The sequence below is a fragment of the Homo sapiens genome, chromosome 12, assembly GCF_000001405.40.
Source record: "Homo sapiens chromosome 12, GRCh38.p14 Primary Assembly".
Lineage (NCBI taxonomy): Eukaryota > Metazoa > Chordata > Mammalia > Primates > Hominidae > Homo > Homo sapiens.
Genome location: NC_000012.12, coordinates 50,738,084 through 50,758,471, shown reverse-complemented (window position 1 = coordinate 50,758,471; position 20,388 = coordinate 50,738,084). Strand labels below are relative to the sequence as shown.

Below are 20,388 nucleotides of genomic sequence, written 5' to 3'. Positions count from 1 at the left end.
TGCAGTGCTGCGATCTCAGCTCACTGCAACCTCCGACTCCTTGGTTCAAGCAATTCTCCTGCCTCAGCCTCCTGAGTAGCTGGGATTACAGGTATGTGCCACGACGCCCAGCTAATTTTCATATTTTTAGTAGAGATGGGGTTTCACCATGTTGACCAGGATGGTCTCGATCTCCTGACCTCGTGATCCGCCTGCCTTGGCCTCCCAAAGTGCGGGGATTACAGGCGTGAGCCACCATGCCCCACCATGACTTTTCTTTAATTTGGATCTCATTCAATTTCACAGCGTTTTGTGGTTTTCAGTGTATGAATTTGCACTGATTAAATTTATTTATTTATTTATTATTTATTTATTTATTTATTTATTTATTTATTTATTTATTTATATAAATGTTATCCAGGCTAGTCTCCCTTGAGATTCTTGTGACTTAGCCTCCTGAGTAGCTGGGATTACAGGCGTGCACCACCATACCCAGCTGATATATATATATATTTTTTGAGACAGAGTCTCACTCCATTGCCCAGGTTGGAGTGCAGTGGTGCGATCTCAGCTCACTGCAACCTCTGCCTCCCAGGTTCAAGCGATTCTCCTGCCTCAGTCTCCTGACTAGCTGGGATTACAGGCATGCACCACCATGCCTGGCTAATTTTTGTATTTTTAGTAGAGACGGGGTTTCACCATGTTGGCTAGGCTGGTCTCCAACTCCTGACCTCAGGTGATCCACCTGCCTCAGCCTCCCAAAGTGCTGGGATTACAGTTATGAACCACCACGCCCAGCTCTGATTTTTATATTTTTAGTAGAGATGGGGTTTCACCATGTTGGCCAGGCTGGTCTCGAACTCCTGGCCTCACGCAATACACCCACCTCGGCTTCCCAAAGTGCTGGGATTACAGGTGTGAACCACTGTGCCCAGCCTATTTTTTTTTGAATAGCACTGTTACAGAAGAATGTCAGTTTACTCCAGGGCACTTCAGTATTCCTGAGGAATAAACACAGTTTCTCTTTTCCTCCCACTGGGATGTTGTCAGGTGAAGTCACTGCTCCTGCTGTTTGACATATTTTCCATGTAGAAGATATGGACCTGGAAATCATGCTGACAGTTGGAGTAAGCCATTTCTAATCCCATGCCAGAACCGAAGGCTAATGGCCACACTCGTCTTTTAAAGAAGGTAAGTAGGCCGGGCACGGTGGCTCACGCCTGTAATCCCAGCACTTTGGGAGGCCAAGGTGGGTGGATCACCTGAGGTCAGGAGTTCGAGACCAGCCTGACCAACATGGAGAAACCCCATCTCTACTAAAAATACAAAATTAGCCAGGCATGGTGGCAGGTGCCTGTAATCCCAGTTACTTGGGAGGCTGAGGCAGGAGAATTGCTTGAACCTGGGAGGCAGAGGTTGCAGTGAGCTGAGATTGCGCCATTGCACTCCAGCCTGGGCAACAAGAGCGAAACTCAGTCAAGAAGGAGGGAGGGAGGAAGGGAGGGAGGGAGAGAAGGAAGGAGGGAGGGAAGGGAAGGAAGGCTAATTCAAAACTAGTACTTATCATCATGGCCACATCTGCCAGGCACCGATCCCACTTCCTGTCAAGCCTCCACTCCAACATCTCCCCACCCATGGCTCCCTATCTCATTTAATTTATTGAATATTACACTGAAAGTGAAAAACAGAATGGTTTTATGGGTACTCAAAGTATGGTTTCTACTGACTGCATCACTTTTGCACCATTGTAAAGTTGAAAAATTGTTAAGTTGAACCATCATAAGTCACAGACTGTATTTTATTCCTTTTGATGCTATTTCAAATGGAATTGTTTTGTGTATTTTATTTTTGGAAAGTTCATTGCTAGTGAATAGAAATAAAATTGACTTATGTTGCTCTTGTATTCTTCAACCTTGTGAAAGTCACTTATTCCTTTTAGTGTTTTCTTAAATTTTAAAAAATTTTTGTAGGTACATAGTAGGTGTATATATTTCTGGGGTACTTGAGATGTGTTGATACAGGCATCCAATATGAAATAAGCACGTCATGGAGAATGGATATCCATCCCCTCAAGCATTTATCCTGATACAAATAATCCAATTATATTATTTAAAAATATACAATTAAGTTATTACTGACTATAGTCACCCTATTTAAATTCTAATTGTGTATTCTTTAGGATTTTCTATGTACAAGTCATTTTATCTGTGAATAGAGATAGCTTTTATTCCTCTTTTCCTCTGGATGCCTTTTATTTCTTTTTCTTGCCTAATCGCTTTGGATAGACCTTTAGTACAACATTGAATAGAAGAGGTGAGAACAGACTTTCTCTTCCCTTGTTTCCAATGTTAGGGAGAGAGCATTCAGTTTTTCACTATTAAGTGGGGTGTTTGTTAGTGAGTTTTTCACAGATGGTCTTTAACAGATTTAGAATTCACCTTCATCTTTTTTTTTTTTTTTTTTTTTAGAGATGCAGTCTCACTATATTGCCCAGGCTGGTCTCAAACTTCTGGGCTCAAGCGATCCTCCTGCCTCAGCCTCCCAAAGTGCTGGGATTACAGGTGTGAGCCACTGTGTCAGGCCCACCTTCATTTTTGAAGACTAGTTTCACTGGATATAGAATTCTGAATTGACAGTCTTTAACTCCTAGTAGCCTAAACGTATTCTGTGTTCTTCTGGCTTCCATAGTGTTTAATGAGAAGTTGGCTATCATTTGTATCATTGTTATCTGCTATGTAACATGTCATTTTCTCAGGCTTCTTTGAAGACTTTTGCTTTATTTAAAAGTTTAGCAGTTTGCCCATGACTCTGCCTAAGTGATTTTCTTTGTATTTATACTGCTTGCTGCTTCTTGAACTTCTTCAGTCAGTAAATGTATGTCTTTCCAAATCTGGGAAGCTTTTGCCATTATTTCTTCACATATTTTTATGTCCCATTCTCTCTCTCCTCCATCTGGAACTGCAATTACAATATGTCAGACCACTTAATATTTTCCCACAGGTCTCTGAGGCACTATTTTTTTCTCCAATCTTTTTTCTCTTTGTTCTTCAGATTAGATAATCTATTGATCTATCTATCTTAAAGTTCAGTTATTCTTTTTCACCTGAGGTCAGGAGTTTGAGACCAGTCTGGCCAACAAACCTCATCTCTACTAAAAATACAAAACTAGCTGGGCGTGGTGGCGGGTGCCTGGAATCCCAGGTACTCGGGAGGTTCACTTATTTTTCCCTAACTATGCTAGCTATAATCTCATCTGAGACCCAGGCTAGGATAATTCGCAGACTGGGCTCAGCTGGGACTATTGACCAAAGAACCTAAACATAGCGCCTCTTCAGAGCTTGGGCCTCTTACAGTATAGCGCTGGGTTCTAAAAGGGAGCATCAGGAAAGTCAGCATTTTAAGCTCAAGCTGCTGCTCATCCACACCAAAAGTCATGCACATTATTTCTGCCACATTCTATTGATCAGACCATATTTGAGGGGAAAGGACTGTACCTCTTGAGGGAATGTCAGGGTAACATTGCAAAGAGCACATGGGATGGAAGATAATATGTGAAGATATATTGGAAAATACAGTCGTCTCCACATTAGCAAAGCAAACCCAGTGGTGTATAAGAAATAGTAGATGACGATCAAAAGGGGTCAAATCAAGGATGGTTCAATATTAGAATCATCTCTGGCTGCTACAGATACGTTAAAAAATTAGTAAAATCTATTTATATAATACATCTTAACAGCTTAAAGGAAAAAACTATGTGATCCTCTCATAGACCCAGTGGGGAGGAAAAGATAAACTTCAACACTAATGAAAAAAATCCAGCAGGCACGGAATAGACTTTCTTTTTTTTTTGAGACGGAGTCTTCCTCTGTCACCCAGGCTGGAGCGCAGTGGGGCAATCTCAGCTGACTGCAACCTCTGCCTCCCGGGTTCAAGCAATTCTCCTGCCTCAGCCTCCCGAGTAGCTGGGATTACAGGCACCCGCTACCACACCCGGCTAACTTTTGTAATTTTTGGTGGAGACGGGTTTCATCATGTTGGCCAGGCTGGTCTTGAACTCCTTGCCTCAAGCGATCCATCCGCCTCGGTTCCCAAAGTGCTGGGATTACAGGTGTGAGCCGCCGCGCCCAGCCAGAATAGACTTTTTTTTTTTTTTTTTTGACACGGAGTCTTGCTCTGTCGCCCAGGCTGGAGTGCAGTGGTGCAATCTCGGCTCACTGCAAGCTCCGCCTCCCGGGTTCACGCCATTCTCCCGCCTCAGCCTCCCGAGTAGCTGGGACTACAGAAGCCCGCCACCACGCCCAGCTAATTTTGTTTTTGTATTTTTAGTAGAGACGGGGTTTCACTGTGTTAGCCAGGATGGTCTCGGTCTCCGGACCTCGTGATCCGCCCACCTTGGCCTCCCAAAGTGCTGGGATTACAGGCGCGAGCCACCACGCCCGGCCTTTTTTTTTTTTTTTTTTTTAACGATGGGTTCTTGCTCTTGTCACCCAGGTTGGAGTGCAGGGGCGTGATCTCAGTTCACTGCAACCTCTGCCTCCCAGGTTCAAGTGATTCTCCTGCCTTAGCCTCCCAAGTAGCTGGGATCACAGGCGCCTGCCACCAAGCCCAGCTATTTTTTTTGTATTTTTAGTAGAGATGGGGTTTCACTGTGTTGGCCAGGCCGGTCTCAAACTCCTGACCTCAGGTGATCCGCCCACCTTGGCCTCCTGAAGTGTTGGGATTACAGGCGTGAGCCACTGCACCTGGCCTAGAATTCTTTAACTGACAAAGCACATCTATCAACAACATATAGTAAGAAGAATACACAATGGTGATACTTCAGAAGCACTACTAGAAAAGTCAAGACTGTGAGGAGGATGCTCACTTTATATCACTTTCTACTCAGCTGTGGTTTATGCCACTAAGTTGGGGTGGTTTGTTACACAGCAATAAATCACTGAAACACTGAGATTTTTATTTTTATGAGACAGGATCTCATTCTGCTGCCCAGGCTGGAGTACAGTTGCACAATCATGGCTCACTGCAGCCTCAAACTCCTGGGCTCAAGTGATCCTCCGCCTTAGTCTCCTAAGTAGCTGGGATCACAGACGCGTGCTATCATGCCCAGCTATTTTTAATTTTTTTTTTCTTAGAGATAGGGTCCCGTTAAGTTCCCCAGCCTTGTCTCCAACTCCTGGTATCAAGCCATCCTCCTACCTTGGCCTGAAGAGTATAGGTGTGAGCCACCATGCCTGGCCTAGACTTTATCATTTTGTGTCTTTTCTCAAGTGAGATTGATTTAGAATTTTTAAAAACTGCCTTAGTGTGACTTTGGTATCTGCCTTATACTAAGTTGGTAAGATTAGTTGGATGGCTTTTTCTTTTATATATGAAAATAGGATTTTTATTTGCTTTGTGAGTGTGGTGAAATTCAGATTTTCTATTTCTTGAGTGAATTTTCAAAGTTACATAATTTTTAGAAAATTATCCATTTAAAACGGAAATTTACTGAAAAAATAATCCCTTGAAATAGAAGCCCAAGGGCTGTATCTGTAGTTATGTTCCCTTTTGTGTTTCCTACTTTTTGTGTACATGTGCGCATGCCTTTTGTTAAATGGATTTTACTGTGATTAGAATAGTTGTAAGAAATCAGTTTCTGGTTCTGTTGAACCTTTTTCTGTTTTCTGTTTTCTTCCTTTTTTATTAATGTCTGCTTTTGTCTTTGTTATTTCCTTCTTTCAACTTTCTTAGTGGGTTTTATTCTTTTCCTAGATTCTGAAATTGAATACAACTAATTCATTTTGTTTGTTCTTTAATGCATGCACTATGAACTCCCTCTTACCTGCTTCTTTAGTAACCACCATCATTTCCAGAGTCTATGTTCTGCTTTGTCAGGTCTGTCTGACCATGGGAGTTATTTATTTATAGAAATGATCTCAGAAATGAGTGTTCATCTTTGGAGACTGAGAATGGAGATTCAGAGAAGTGAATGAGGTCATCAGGTAGACTTTTATTAATAGCAACTTCTATTAGGATCTTGCTCATACTCAGTTTTATTTGAAAAAGTGTGCTTCCTCCCTTGCTGCCAATCCTTCCACCTGCTCACTGGAGTCCGTCCGCTCCAGCTTCCTCAGTGACAGTGACCTTGCTTTGTCAGTTGTCCCTTACTGCTATATTTAGAAACTTTCCCTCTATTCTGGCTTTTTCTCCGACATGTTTATTTCTTCCATATTCAAAACAGACCCCCCTTGATTTTACATCCTTCTTCTAACTACTGTCCCCTCTTTCTCCTTCCTACGTGCAGTTGCAGATAAAGCCTCTGGAGAGGGGCCTCTGTTCAGTCTCACCTCCCAGCAGTTCTCTCCTGAACCAGTTTTCAGGCTTCTGCCCATACAGCTGCACTAAAACTCTCTCATCAACGCTACCAGGGACTCCCTTGTTGACAGGTCCAGCAGATGCCATCCAATCCCTGTTCTACTCAGCTTTGTTGTGGCCTTTGGGTTGTTGAGCACTCCCTCCTCTTTTAATTTTGTTTTTGAGATGGAATCTCACTCTTTCGCCCAGGCTGGAGTGCAATGGTGCGATCTCGGCTCACTGCAACCTCCACCTCCGGGGTCCAAGCGATTCTCGTGCCTCAGCCTCCCAAGTAGCTGGGACTACAGACGCCCACCACCAGGCCCAGCTGAATTTGTATTTTCAGTAGAGACTGGGTTTCACCATGTTGGCCAGGCTGGTCTTGAACTCCTGATCTCAGGTGATCCGCCCGCCTCGCCCTCCCAAAGTGCTGGGATTACAGGCATGAGCCATTGTGCCCGGCCCTCACGAACCTTTAAATGCTGTTGTTTGCCATGACTCTGATCTTTTTCTCACTCTACATGTTCTTCCTTGACAGTATCATCCACTTTGAAATGTTGTCTCCTAAATCTACAGTTTTAGGCCAGAGCTCTCCTGAGGCAAATACCTCAGTATTCAGCTGTCTGTTGGACCTCTTCTCCTGCATGTTCCACAGCACCTCAAAGGAACATGACCAATATGGAACACAGTGTCTTCTTTCCCAAATCTATTCCTCCTGTTTTCTCCCCTGCCTTGGTAAATGGCCCCACATCCACCTAACCCCCAAGCCAGAAATCTAGGAGTTATTTTGGATTCCCTCTTCCTTACCCTGAATATTCAGCAGTTGGAATCTTTTTTTTTTTTTTTTTTTTTTTTGAGACAGAGTCTCACTCTGTCGCTCAGGCTGGAGTGCAGTGGCACAATCTCAGCTCACTGCAATCTCTGCCTCCCAGGTTCAAGCGATTGTCCTGCCTCAGCCTCCCCAGTAGCTGGGATTACAGGTATGCGCCACCACCACATCCAGCTAATTTTTGTATTTTTAGTACAGATGGGGTTTCACCACATTGATCAGGCTGGTCTTGAACACCTGACCTCAGGTGATCCACCCACCTCAGCCTCCCAAGGTGCTGGGATTACAGGCATGAGCCACCGCGCCCGGCCAGCAGTTGGAATCTTAATGCCACCAAAGTTCTCATGCATGGCCTCTCTTCTCCATTCTTACTGCCTTGAAGTACCCTTGCTCTATGTCTTAGTCTGTTTTGTGCTGCTGTAACAAAGATATCTGAACCTGGGTAGTTTATAAAGAACAGAAATGTATTTCTCACACTTCTGGAGGCCAGGAAGTTCAACATCAAGGCACTGGCAGGTTGGCTTGTATGGTGAGGGCTGCTCTCTTTCCAAGAGAGTGCTGTGTTGCTGTGTCCTCCAGAGGGGAGGAACACTGGTGGTAAAGGGCAGAAGGTAAGCGAGTCAAGTGCTGCTGCATGAAGCCTTTCATAAGAGCTCTAAGTCCATTTGTGAGGGAGGAGCCATCATGACCTAATGATCTCTTAAAACTATCACCTTGGCCATTAAGTTTCAACAGAAGAATCTGGAGGGAACACATTCAAATCGTAGCACTCTATCACTGTGGTTACTGCAAAGGTCTCCCAACTAGTCTTTCCAGTTTTATCTCCTTTTCCCTATCTATTCCTATCTATTTTTTTCTTTTTCTTTTTCTTCAGAGACAGGGTCTTGCTCTGTCACCCAGCCTGGAGTGCCGTGGCGCAGTTGTAACTCATTGTAGCCCTGAACTCCTGGGCTCAAGAGATCTTCCGCCTTAGCTTCCCAAAGTACTGGGATCACAGGCGCGAGCCACCATGCCCAGCCCCAATTTATTTTCTATATGACTGCCAGAATAATCTTCTACATTGTGAATCTGAGCATGTTATCCCCCTGCTTTAAATCCCTCACTAACTCTCCTTTGCCCCTTTGATAAAAGTCCAAAATTCTTAGCATGATATACAAGACCGTCAGTGATCTGTCCCTGGCTCAAGCCTCCATAATTATCTTTTACTTTTCTCCCCTCAAACCTTGTATCCTTATCTTAGTCCTTTTGTGTTGCTACAACAAAATACCTAAGCCTGGATAATTTATAAACAGCTTAAATTTACTGCTCATGGTTATGGAGGCTGGGAAGTCCAAGATTAAGGTGCTGACAGTTTCAGTGTCTGGTGAGGGCCTGGTCTCTACTTCCAAAATGGTACCTTAAATGCTGCTTCTTCTGGAGTGGACGAACACCATGTCCTCGCATGGGAGGAGGGACAGAAAGGCAAAAGGGCCTCACCAGTTCTCTCTAGTACTTTTACAAGGGCACTAATCCATTCACCAGGGCACAGCTCTCGTAACTTGATCACTTCCCAAAAGGCCCCACCTCTTAAAACTATCACATTGGGTCTTAACTTCTAACATGAATTTTGGGCAGACACATACATTCAAACCACAGTAATCCCAATAATGAATTCTAGTTCCCAGAATATGCGACTCTGCCTTCCTGCTCACTATCTTATCTGGCTGTCTTATCCTCTGAAACCCAGGTCAGAGGTTCCCTACTCCTCACTATCCTCCCTTACCATCAGACTATGTGCCTTGCCTGCCTGCTCTCACAATGCATGTCTGCTCTTAACCCTTGTATTGTATTGTGATTGTTATCCTATATCTCCTTGAGAGCAGTGACTTGATATTTTTTTCTCTCTGGCTTCAGCTCTTATCACAGTGCTGTGACATGAAAAAATGTTCTCAGCTGCCAGAGTAGTCTGGATCAATGAAATAATTCAAGGACCACTTTCGGTGTCTGAAAACATGCACAATTTGATGGGCTCCCACCAAGTTTCTTGAAACCAGGAATTGGAAGAGCAAATGAAATCTCATTTTAGGAAAAGCTAAAATCCAGCCTAATTACAGATTAGAAAAAATTCAAATTTAGGCCAGGCATGGTGGGTCACGCCTGTAATCCCAGCACTTTGGGAGGCTGAGAAGGGCAGATCACTTGAGGTCAGGAGTTTGAGACCAGCCTGGCCAACATGATGAAACCCTGTCTCTACTAAAAATATAAAAATTAGCTAGGCATGTTGGCGCATGCCTGTAATCTCAGCTACTGGGGATTACTTTGGGAGAATCGCTTGAACCCAGGAGGCGGAGGCTGCAGTGAGCTGAGATTGTGCCACTGCACTCCAGCCTGGGTGACAGAGTGAGACTCTGTCTCAAAAAATTAAAAAAGAAAATACAACTACCAAATGCTACATGAGTGGGAGGAAGACTAAACTATAATTATTACCTTGAAGAGTCCTGACAACAGGCTCCTTAGTTTTCAAAGTGACACCCTGATTCCCTGACCTAGTATCCTTTAATAGCACTGACTCTGGATCTCTGTGTTCACTTTCCTTAGACTACCCCAGCTATCACTGGGTCTTACCATCTAAAGTTAAATTTAAAATCTATCAATTCCCTAGCCTCCACCCAATGTGTGAAGGATTAAACAGAATCAGGCATCAATATTTATTAACACAAGACAAAGGAAACACATTCAATGAGTTAATAGAACACTGTCCAGCCAGATGTTAAATTTAAAAACGTATATCTAGTCTAACTTCAAATAAATAAAAAAACTTTATACATAATTACACAGTACTGTAGTTTGAATTTGACACGGGTAAATATCTTGACAGAAAGTAAACAAAACAGCATTTAGGACTAAAAAATTATTCTTATATCTTTAGTCTCTTCCTCTGGACAAGTAACATGGCCCAACTACATACACCTAAACCAGAAATGTCGTATGAATGATAAAGAAAAGGCCTATTGTGTATTTGGCGCATTGCAGCTTCTTGCTCCAAATACTCTTGCTTTTACATCAAAGCAGACAACAAAAACAACACTAAGGCATAGATCTTGTTGGAGTTTGAGGATGAGGTGATAACTCCTCATTGCTTTAGACTAAAAGATTCCTGGATATTCAAGGAAAGTAATTTATTTGGCCAAGATATAGAGCACCATGCCTGGGGCAGAGACCTTAATAGAAAACCTAAGGCCTCGGGCCCTTGTTGAGTCAACAAAAGCATTAAGCAAGGATTGCCCAGGGACTAAAGTAAGGAGACAGACTCATGTGACCAAGACAGGCAATGGTCCCTAAACAGCCTGAGGCAACACAACTTCATGAGGAAAGGACTTGGTACTGGGGAGACCTGGCCCTTTATGAGGCAGGAAGTAAAGACTGTGGATTCACTGACACTGATTAGCATGCTGGTCCTTCCCAGGGTCTCACTGAATTCCTAGGATCTAGGAATTTTCCTGAGGCAGCCCCTTCCTGATCTACTTCAGTTACTTCTGCTGAGAACCAGAAAGAGGTTCAGAAACCTTCAGACCAATAGATTTCTCTTAACTGAGACAGAGACTTGTTTAGTTTTTTTCCACAGACATTAAAAACCCAGACAGAATATGTTCCAGAGGATTGGAAAGGCTGTGTTTCTATTAGTAATGGCCTTTCAGGCCTGCCTTAAGAATCAGTTCTACCACAAAAGTGCTACTTAATGTGGATAGAGTAGGAGCACTGTGTCATCAAGAGAACATTTTCTTACTCGAGTCTGTGGCAGAGTAGGCTTTAAATCTGCAGGTGATCCCACAAACACCATCTAAGCAAATGACTGGGCTCTCCTCTCCCTCCACAGGATGCTTTACCAGAGTTACTGATGAAGTTCCTCAAGGACAGTTCTTAGCCTTCCTTCCTCCATGAGCAGATTCTGGCTTTGGGGGACATGCAAAAGATCAATAAAGCAGAAAGCAAAAAATAAATTAGAGGCCTGAGGAACTACAAAACTAGATAATCAGCCTCTAAGTAAATGGGAGTTGGCCACACTTTGAGATTAACAGAGTAATGTATTTGAAGGAATGAGTATAGATCTGCACTGTCTAATATGGTAGCCACTAGTCACATTTGGCTACAAAGACTTGAAATATGGTGATGGTTTGAATTGAGATGTGTTTAATACACACTGAATTTCAAAGGCCTAATATGAAAAAAAGTAAAATAACTCATTAATAATTTTTATATTGATCCTATGTTGAAATGATAGTGTTTTTGAGCTATTGGGTTAAATAAAATATATTTAAATCAATACCATGGGTTTCTTTTTACTTTTAAAAAAATGTGGTTACTAGAAACATTTAAATTACAGATGTGGCTCTCATTATAGTATTTACAGTGGACAGTGCATCTCTAGATGCCTATACCCTAATCTGTGTTAGTAAGAATTATCAAAGCAACCCACAGAATAGCATCTAACCATAACTTTTAGAACTTGGGGATTATAGAGCTAGACTTATTTATATCAGCTTCAGGATCCCCTGCTTTGTTTAGTGGATCATTAAAAATAGTTTTAAGAAAATTAAGTATCAGGCTGTGTTCTCTGCAAACCAAACCATTGCTAGACACTGGGATTTCCTGTGTGCCCCAATGTAAGTGCTTTTTTTCTATCCATCCTAGGACTTCCCTCATTACGTGTAAATTAATTCCATGAAAATGCTGAAAAAGAGATCTGGAACTGGCAAATGTCCTGAGCTCTGCCCTCTGTGGAGGAGTGGGGAGGAAAAGAGGATTACATGAAGGGAGTCACAAAGTGGCTTTTAGTCACATCACAAGACCGTGTAATGGCAGCCCTAGAGCACTGCCACCGCAAAGGAGCTGGTCTTTGCATTATAAACCTTATTTTCAGGGTAATTACAAGTCTTAAAAATTGTTTAAAAACATACTTAGTTTACATGATGTTACAGTGGGGTAAATAATATGTATTATTAAAATAGTCTAAATAAATATTTACACAATAGACCAGAGTGGGTCAAAGAGAACCATTCTGCTTTGACAAGTTAACTCTTCTCACTTTTGAGTACTTTTTCATTTTTAAAAATATTTCTGTTAAGAAAAAAATAATACGATTTAACTATATTCAAATACATGAAGTATCAGACCAAAGAAAGGAAACCGAGCCAGAGGCCAAACTCAGTCTCATCTCATTCTACTTGGCCTGGGCACCAAAGTTATTTCAAAAGAGTTTCCTGCATATGTCAGACTTCCCCGGTTTCAGCATAAGCCTGGCTGCTTTGGCAACCCAGATTGGTCAGTTTTGTGTAGTTATATGGCCTTACAGTTCCATGTGATGGTGGATCCCCACTGCCTTCCTGGCCTATCATTCTTGTTTTAAACCCCCTGCCCTCGTGAACTGGAAGAACAGAGGACACTCCTCAGTTTTCAGAAGAGAAGTTATATGGATAAACTGTAGACACAGTTTACAATGTGCCTGGAAAAGAGGAAATCCTAAATTCTTACATAGTCACTCTAAATCTGAAAGATCGTTTTAACACTGGGGCCAGAGTAAGTTATTGTGGTTCCTTAGAATAGGGTGGGCTCTGATGAATCTTAGCTTTGTGTTAACATTTTGATTTTTAAACTGAGATTTTCAGCTTTTAGAAACAGGCTGAATTCATAGAAGCCTAAGCTGATTCTGGGAATGCGAGCTTTAAAAAGAAACATAGGCAGCTTTAGTTTATAAAATACACCAGCCAACAAAGACATAGAACAATGTGCAGCAAAACCTGCCAACAATTTGCGCTTTTTAGTTACCTAATCAATTACACAACATTAAGAGAATATTGAAATTCTCTCAAAGTAGAAATGTTTCTACTGTGGTTGTTATAACTATACAAGCCAATTCTTCAAATCTCTAGTTGAATTATGTGTATTCTTATGTACATGTTGTAAAACACTGGTCAAAATGTTTTACAGTCAAGAATTATCTATATAAAGTAATTCTCATAGTCAGTGGGTTATCTGATTTGCTTATGGGTTGACTGAAAGAAAGCTGAGTAGTTCCATGTTAACAAACCCCACAGAACATCTAGCTACGGCAGAATGGCAAAATACAGTACGGAGTGGGGAACTGTGTCACTCAGACTACCCCTTTCATGTGAATTCATTAAATTCCCTTAGAAAATTCTAAAATGGCATTAGATAAAAATACAACTATGTACAACAGATGAAAAAAATGCAACATGCATGTAATTGCTTTAGTAATGTGCTGCTCACGCTATGTCAAAGCACATGTCTACCAAATGTTAACATTTTTTTCATTTGCCATCACAGAATTCCCCTTTCCTGTGTTTTATGATTGCAGAATCCCACAGGATGAGATGAAGAATATCATGTAGCCATCTCAGCTTATTTCACATCGTTTGAAGCCTGCTCTTAGCCAGAGGTCTTCTGTCTTTGTGATTCTTCAGAATGGCCCACTGCAGTCCCCACAAGGCTGGTTACATGTTATAAGCCACGTAGATGGGGTCTAACTGGTCAGCTAGGAAGCTATCACGGAGGTGCATCCTCTGCTTCTCTCCTCTGGAGTTGATCGGGATGACACCTGGGTCCACCACAACCACGACGCCAACGATGAGGTAATGCTCTTCCAGGACCACGTTGGTCACTAATGGGACCAGATCTAGGGCTTCCTGTTCAGAGCCGCACAGTTCCACAACCACCACAAGCAAGTTGGTCCATGTGAACACGGCACTGAAATTTCAATGACAATTCATTAACTTGTCACTACATTTTTCAGTTATCTTTTATAGCATCTGTCCCAGACTTAGCCCATTTCCCCGCCTTCTCCCCTCAATCCCAACCAGAACGTCAGCAGTCATGTCTACCATATATGACACCTTTCAATTTTACCTGATAAGACTGAGGGAAAAATTATATAATGAATATATATATATATGAGAGACATCTTGCCCCTGTGAACACAGCTGAGTTGTCCAGAATCTCCTGGGAGTTTGAAAGTGGAATTTAAAGTTGTCAGGCCAGGCGCGGTGGCTCACACCTATAATCCCAGCACTTTGGGAGGCCGACATGGGCGGATCACCTGAGGTCAGGAGTTCGAGACCAGCCTGGCCAACATGGCGAAATCCCGCCTCTACTAAAAATACAAAAATTAGCCAGACTTGGTGGTGAGCACCCGTAGTCCCAGCTACTCAGGAGGCTGAGGGAGGAGAATAATTTGAACCCAGGAGGCGGAGGTTGCAGTGAGCCAAGTTTGCGCCACTACACTCCAGCCTGGGCAACAGAGTGAGACTCTGTCTCAAAAAAAAAGTTGTTAACTGGTCATTTGAACCAGTGACATGGATTTGAATATTCTGGGGTAGCCCAGGGCACAGAGAAGCAGAGAGAATCCCTCTTCAGGGAGGCGAAAAAGAAAGAAGGGAATGCCCATATGGCTCTAGAAAGTAAGGCGACAGTGATTCCTGATGGCCTTACCATTCCCTTGTTTCTACCTTTCCTGAGACCCAGAGTTAGTTTTTTTGGAATGTCTGAGATAGCCAGGTATTCTTTCCATTAATTCTTTCACTTAAGCTTTTTTGAAGGGAGCCTGTTATTTGCCCCATAAGAGCTTTGACTAATAAAATATTCTTTTGTTTTTTAGACTAGTCAAGTGCAGTAGTGAGAAAGAGGGAAAGAGTAGAACGAATAGTTTGATTGATTTGTAATTGACTATTAACAATCAATTAAATTAACTCACTACCTTCAGACCACCCTAAGGCAGTATTCTTAAACCCAACAGGAAGAGTGTCTGTCTGACTCACATGAGTTATTAGTGCCCCACGCAAGTGTCTCCTATTGTATAAAAGAGCCATAAGCCACTTTCCACCGAGTGGTGTTACTGGGTTAGAAGGTAGGGCCTGACTTGGTATGCAGGGCTAAATTGCTTTAAAAACAGATTTCAGTTGGGTGCGGTGGCTCACGCCTGTAATCCCAGCACTTTGGGAGGCCGAGGTGGGCGGATCACGAGGTCAGGAATTCAAGACTAGCCTGGCCAATATGGTGAAACCCCGTCTCTACTAAAAATACAAAAATTAGCCGGGCATGGTTGAGTGTGCCTGTAGTCCCAGCTACCCGGGAGGCTGAGGCAGAAGAATCGCTTGAACCCAGGAGGCAGAGGTTGCAGTGAGCCGGGATCGCACCGCTGCACTCCAGCCTGGGGAGACTCTGTCTCACAAAAAAAACAAACAAAACCAAATTCCAGTAATTAAAAATGTACACAATATTTGGTTCCATTAAGAGTCAAATGTCTAAAATGACAAAGTAACCACAGCACCCAGCTTCCCTGGATGCTTTCCAGATGTCTAAAGATGTTCTTGTCTTGGTCAGAGTCTTGTTCAGGTCTGGGGAGAGACTCCTATGAAAACAAGAGCATCTTTTTTTTTTTTGAGACAGAGTTTCGCTCTGTTGCCCAGGCTGGAGTACAGTGGCGCAATCTTGGCCCATTGCAACCTCCGCCTCCCAGGTTCAAGCAATTTTCCTGCCTCAGCCTCCCGAGCAGCTAGGATTACGGGTGCCTGCCACTGCGTCCAGCTAATTTTTGTATTTTTAGTAGAGACAGGGTTTTGCCATGTTGGCCAGGCTGGTCTTGAACTCCTGACCTCAGGTGATCCACCCACCTCAGCCTCCCAAAGTGCTGGGATTATAGGCGTGAGCCACCACTTCCGGCCGACAAGAGCATTTTTAGACAAAGAAGTATCTGGAAAGCATGAGCAACCATCAAAAGAACTGTGGCTGTTTAGCATGGGGAAAAGTGGTGAAGAAGGACATATTCACTAAAATAGGTAGAAACAAACCGAACGGATTCTGTGTTGGTTAAGAACCCAGAATGAAAGCCAGTAGGTAAACACTACAGAGGTGGTTTTTTTTTTTTTTTTTTTTTTTTTTTTGAGACAGTCTCAGTCTGTCACCAGGGCTGGAGTGCAGTGGCACAATCTTGGCTCACTGTAGCCTCAACCTCCCAGGCTCAAGTGATCCTCCCACCTCAGCCTCCTGAGTAGCTGGGACTACAGGCATGCCACCACACCTGGCTATTTTTTTAATTTTTTTGTAGAGATGGGGTTTTACCATGTTACCCAGGATGGTCTTGGATTCCTGGGCTTAAGCGATCCGCCCGCCTTGGCCTCCCAAAGTTCTGGGATTATAGATGTGAGCCACTGTGGCCGGCCAAACCACAGTTTTAATTTTACAGATTTTAAGTCAATATGTGGTTGGACGATCCTTTATCAGGGAAAATGTAGGGGGAATTCCTGCAAAGAGCAGGAAACTGGATGAGATAATATCAACTACCCTTTTCATCTGCTTACCATTTAATAGTTTACAAAGCACATTCTCATTTGATGCTTCTGATAATTAGGAAGTAGCAGAGAGAGTGTTTTACAGATGAGGAGAGCCTTTAAGCTGGTTCTTTCCACCATATTATGCTGACTTTCAAGAGATCAATGATCTGTTAGTCCCTTCCCATTATGAGAGTCTATCACTAAAAAAGGACTCAGTTCCAGCATTCCACAGAAGGTATCAGAGTATTCCCCAGGGGCCTCATGGCCTCATCTGGCTCCTGTGGATAGGCTTTGTTGGCCACAGCAGATTGCACACCCAAGACAAGAATCAGTCTATTTCCTTACTCCTCCCATGGAGCTCTATGTTTCAAGGTAGGTATGTGGTCCCAATGACCAATTAATTAGATCAGTTGAGATTATGACTAAAGCTGAAGTGGGAAGCACAGTGTATGCTGAGGGAGTTACCATTCAGCAATGCTTCTGTGGATCCGGGACACCGAGGTCTCAATATCAATTGGGTGGTATCGTAATCCTCTCAGCTCCAGTGTTTCATCCAGCGCTCCCACCACATACAATGCATCATGACGCTCTGACAGAAAGAAAAAGAGAGAAATGTGGCTTGGACATATACTGAGTGCAACATAACACTGGAGTCCACAGCACAGGGGTCAGACTGCCTGTCACCTGGCTCTGCCCCTACCAACTGTGTAACTCTGGGCAAATTCCTTAAGGCTCTGAATCCTGCTGCTCCTCTGTGAGATGGGAATAATAATCAATGGCTGCTGTGAGGATTTGTGAGTTAATCCATGCACAGTAGTTAATATGGTATGTGGTATTTTGTAAATGATACCAGAAATTAGCTGTTAGTATTATTACATGTTAGGAACTGTGTTATGTGCTGGGGAGACAAAACTGACAAAACCCAATTCCTTCTCTGAAGATCCTTACAGCTGAGGTGGGGGAAAAGATACACAAAGAGGCATTCCGTTGTAATGTAACAAGCCCAGCGACAGGAGTGTGCATGAGGTTCGGAGGGGCAGAGGACATCACTGAGTCTAGCTCAAAGGTTCAGGGAAGGCACCTGGAAAAGCTGAGGGCAGAGCTGAGCTTTTAAGGACAAACAGGACTGAGCCAGAGGGGAGGGACAGAGGAAAGACAGGACTTGAGAGGGAGAGGAGATGAACAAGTGTCATTTTTTCTAGGTAGCTTCATGGAATACACATATAAGAAGGAGGGTTGTAGAACATGGAGGAAACTAGTCCTGGTTTCTAACAGGCTTGTAATCCAGCTAGGATACAGAAGGAAGGAAGATTATTTTGCAGTAATTTCTGGAAAAACGCAGATTTCTGAAAAATTCAGCAAAACAAAGTGATTGAAGCTGTTGGAGTGAAAAGGATCAGGAGGTGCAGCAGAGGCTCCCATCACCTGGTGAGCTCATGAAGACTGATGACAAAAACAAGAGAAACATAGCAGTGAATGACTAATGGGTGCTTCCTGTGTGCCAGGCACCGTTCTTGGCATCTAAATGCATCATGTCCTTTAATCTCACATCATTTCCATGAGGCAAGAAACACAGTCATCCCCATTTTCTAAGTAGGAAACAGAGGCTAAGTGATTGCTCAAGGTCACCCAGCAAGTGGCAGAGGTGGGCTGCAAAACCAGGGCACCAGGCAGGGATGCCACCCTCTGCTCCCCTGGGTTGCCCCTGCCTCTCCATGAAATCTGGGGAACTATGGATGCTGGTCAGTATGGAACTATGGAGAATTTAGGACTTTAAAATCCAGTGAGTTATATATCTATCACTTCTTCAAGTGCAGGATATAGTCAGTGTTGGGTATTTTTAAATGGCTATAAGTGTCAGTCTGGAAGAAAGAGTGATGGCGGGCAGCAGTGAAGCTGTGACAATCAACTGGGCAGAGGGTGATGGGAGGGAATCCTCATACCAGAGGCCTGGCCAGGAAGCAGGCTGTGTCCAACGCAAGACACTGAGGCACTGCCATGCCTCAGCAAGATGGCTCCTTGGAACTGACGCCCCTCTCAGGGAATAGGGCCATTCCTCCTGCTCCCCAAGTGGTGTGCAGGGTAGAAGAGCTATAAGATGTAATGCTTGTCCCGGATGTGAATCAGCCCTGCAGGGACTGAAAGTCTGTTTAGCCAGGGACGCTCACTTGCCATCAGGCACATCTCTCTGACTCACAGCTCGGGATGCTCCTGGGCTTGCCCCAAGCGCTCACCTCTTAGACACTCTTCATGGGGCAAGGCATGACTCCAAATGAAGAGAGAGTCACTTATGGGTTTAAGAGTCACCGAAGGGAGTAACTAAATAGACACACTCCACAATCCAACGCAGGCTGAAGGAGGTCAGCTAGTGCTACAGAAACACAAAGCAGGGTCAATGGGGAGTTGTTGCAGAAGTACCTCCAGTGGCCGCTGTGAGCTCGGTCCGGCGGACAAAACCAAGGTATCCTGTCCGAGCCCAGAGTGTCTGAGCTGCATCTCCAAAGCTGAGGCGAGTGTTGAAATGATCAGCTTGAAGAGTCTCGCTATCATAGATGGTGTAGTAGCCGCTGGCTGTATGGGGACTGTTCACCCAAATCTACAAGAAAAGTGCTTTGATCACAACTCACTGGGGACACACAACTGTATTAATTCTCTTGGATCAGGTTATTTTGATTTTTTAAATCTCATTTTTATATTAACAACAACACAACTGCATCAATAAAGGCAGCTGACATTTACCACGTGCTCATCATGTACCTAATCTCCATCCATCCTGATATATATGACATGACAACATAGTTCATACAATGTTGTTCCCATTTTACGGATGAAAAAACAAGGAGTTAACTAATTCACCTAACATGCAGAAATGAGGAGACTCGCACCCATGCCCGTGTGGCTCCGGAGGCCGTGCTCTCACCCACAAGGCTACCCTGCCTCCCTGGCTCATTTCTCACTCTCCTCCAGAGTCCCACGAACACATCAGGGATCGTTTCTGTGCTTCCGGGATAACTGTGGAAGCCCACAGGGAAACACCATGGGGTGTTTTGAGTTTATAATATAAACAGAGCGATAGCTAACAATAATGTTACTAAGAATCATTATGTGACAGACACTGTTCCATGTACACTACAGATGCAGGTGTTAATACATTTAATTGTTATAATGATTCTACTCAGGAGGTGAGGTAGGTGCTACTACTAACATTTAAAAATTTTTAAAATAGGCTGGGCGTGGTGGCTCACGCTTGTAATCCCAGCACTTTGGGAGGCCAAGGCAGGTGGATCACTTGAGGCCAGGAGTTCAAGACCAGCCTGGCCAACATGGTGAAACCCCCTACTAAAAATACAAAATTAGCCAGGCGTGGTGGTGTGCGCCTGGTAATGCCAGCTACACAGGAGGCTGAGGCAGGAGAATCACTTGAACTGGGGAGATGGAGGTTGCAGGGAGCCAAGATGGCACCACTGCATTCCAGCCTGGGTGACAGAGCAATACACTGTCTCAGAAAAAAAAAATTTTTCGAAGTAGAGATGGGGTCTTTGCTATGTTGCCCAGTTGGCCTCAAACTCCTGGCCTCAAAGTGGAGTGGCCTCAAACTCCTGCTTCAGCCTCCCAAAGTGTTGGGATTACAGGCCTGAGCCACTGCACCTGGATGGTGCTATTATTATTATTATTATTTTTGAGAGTCTTGCTCTGTCATCAGGCTGGAGTGCAGTGACGTGATCTCGGCTCACTGCAACCTCTGCTTCCCAGGTTCAAGCCTCAGCCTCCTGAGTAGCTGGGACTACGGGCACACGCCACCATGTCCAGCTAATTTTTGTATTTTTAGTAGAGACGGAGTTTCCTCATGTTGGCCAGGATGGTCTCGATCTCTTGACCTCGTGATTCACCCGCCTTGGCCTCCCAAAGTGCTGGGATTAC

At 43.7% G+C, this 20,388-nt stretch overlaps 1 protein-coding gene and 1 long non-coding RNA gene across 2 annotated transcripts in view, besides 2 other annotated features; one reads left to right on the top strand and one right to left on the bottom strand.

Annotated features, from left to right (window-relative positions):
• Nucleotides 1-821: 821 nt before the first annotated feature.
• LOC124902932 (uncharacterized) lies at nucleotides 822-14,896 on the top strand. Its single transcript, XR_007063306.1, has 2 exons — nucleotides 822-1,170; nucleotides 13,497-14,896. It is a non-coding gene; the product is annotated as an uncharacterized LOC124902932 (long non-coding RNA).
• Nucleotides 8,932-9,565: an enhancer, noted in NCBI's record as "H3K27ac-H3K4me1 hESC enhancer chr12:51142690-51143323 (GRCh37/hg19 assembly coordinates)". NCBI's record gives its function as "activates a minimal SCP1, AML or CMV promoter by ChIP-STARR-seq in primed H9 embryonic stem cells {active_cell/tissue: H9 hESC(primed)}" and the evidence as "EXISTENCE:reporter gene assay evidence [ECO:0000049][PMID:30033119]".
• Nucleotides 9,566-10,200: an enhancer, noted in NCBI's record as "H3K27ac-H3K4me1 hESC enhancer chr12:51142055-51142689 (GRCh37/hg19 assembly coordinates)". NCBI's record gives its function as "activates a minimal SCP1, AML or CMV promoter by ChIP-STARR-seq in primed H9 embryonic stem cells {active_cell/tissue: H9 hESC(primed)}" and the evidence as "EXISTENCE:reporter gene assay evidence [ECO:0000049][PMID:30033119]".
• DIP2B (disco interacting protein 2 homolog B) overlaps nucleotides 9,815-20,388 on the bottom strand; it is a 243,673-nt gene continuing 233,099 nt past the window's right edge. Inside the window, exons 36-38 of the mRNA NM_173602.3 lie at nucleotides 18,886-19,063; nucleotides 16,933-17,056; nucleotides 9,815-13,885 (exon numbers count right to left, since the gene is read on the bottom strand). Coding sequence (NP_775873.2) covers nucleotides 13,633-13,885; nucleotides 16,933-17,056; nucleotides 18,886-19,063 — 555 coding nt within the window. The 3' untranslated portion in view covers nucleotides 9,815-13,632. The remainder of the gene's footprint in view (nucleotides 13,886-16,932; nucleotides 17,057-18,885; nucleotides 19,064-20,388) is intronic.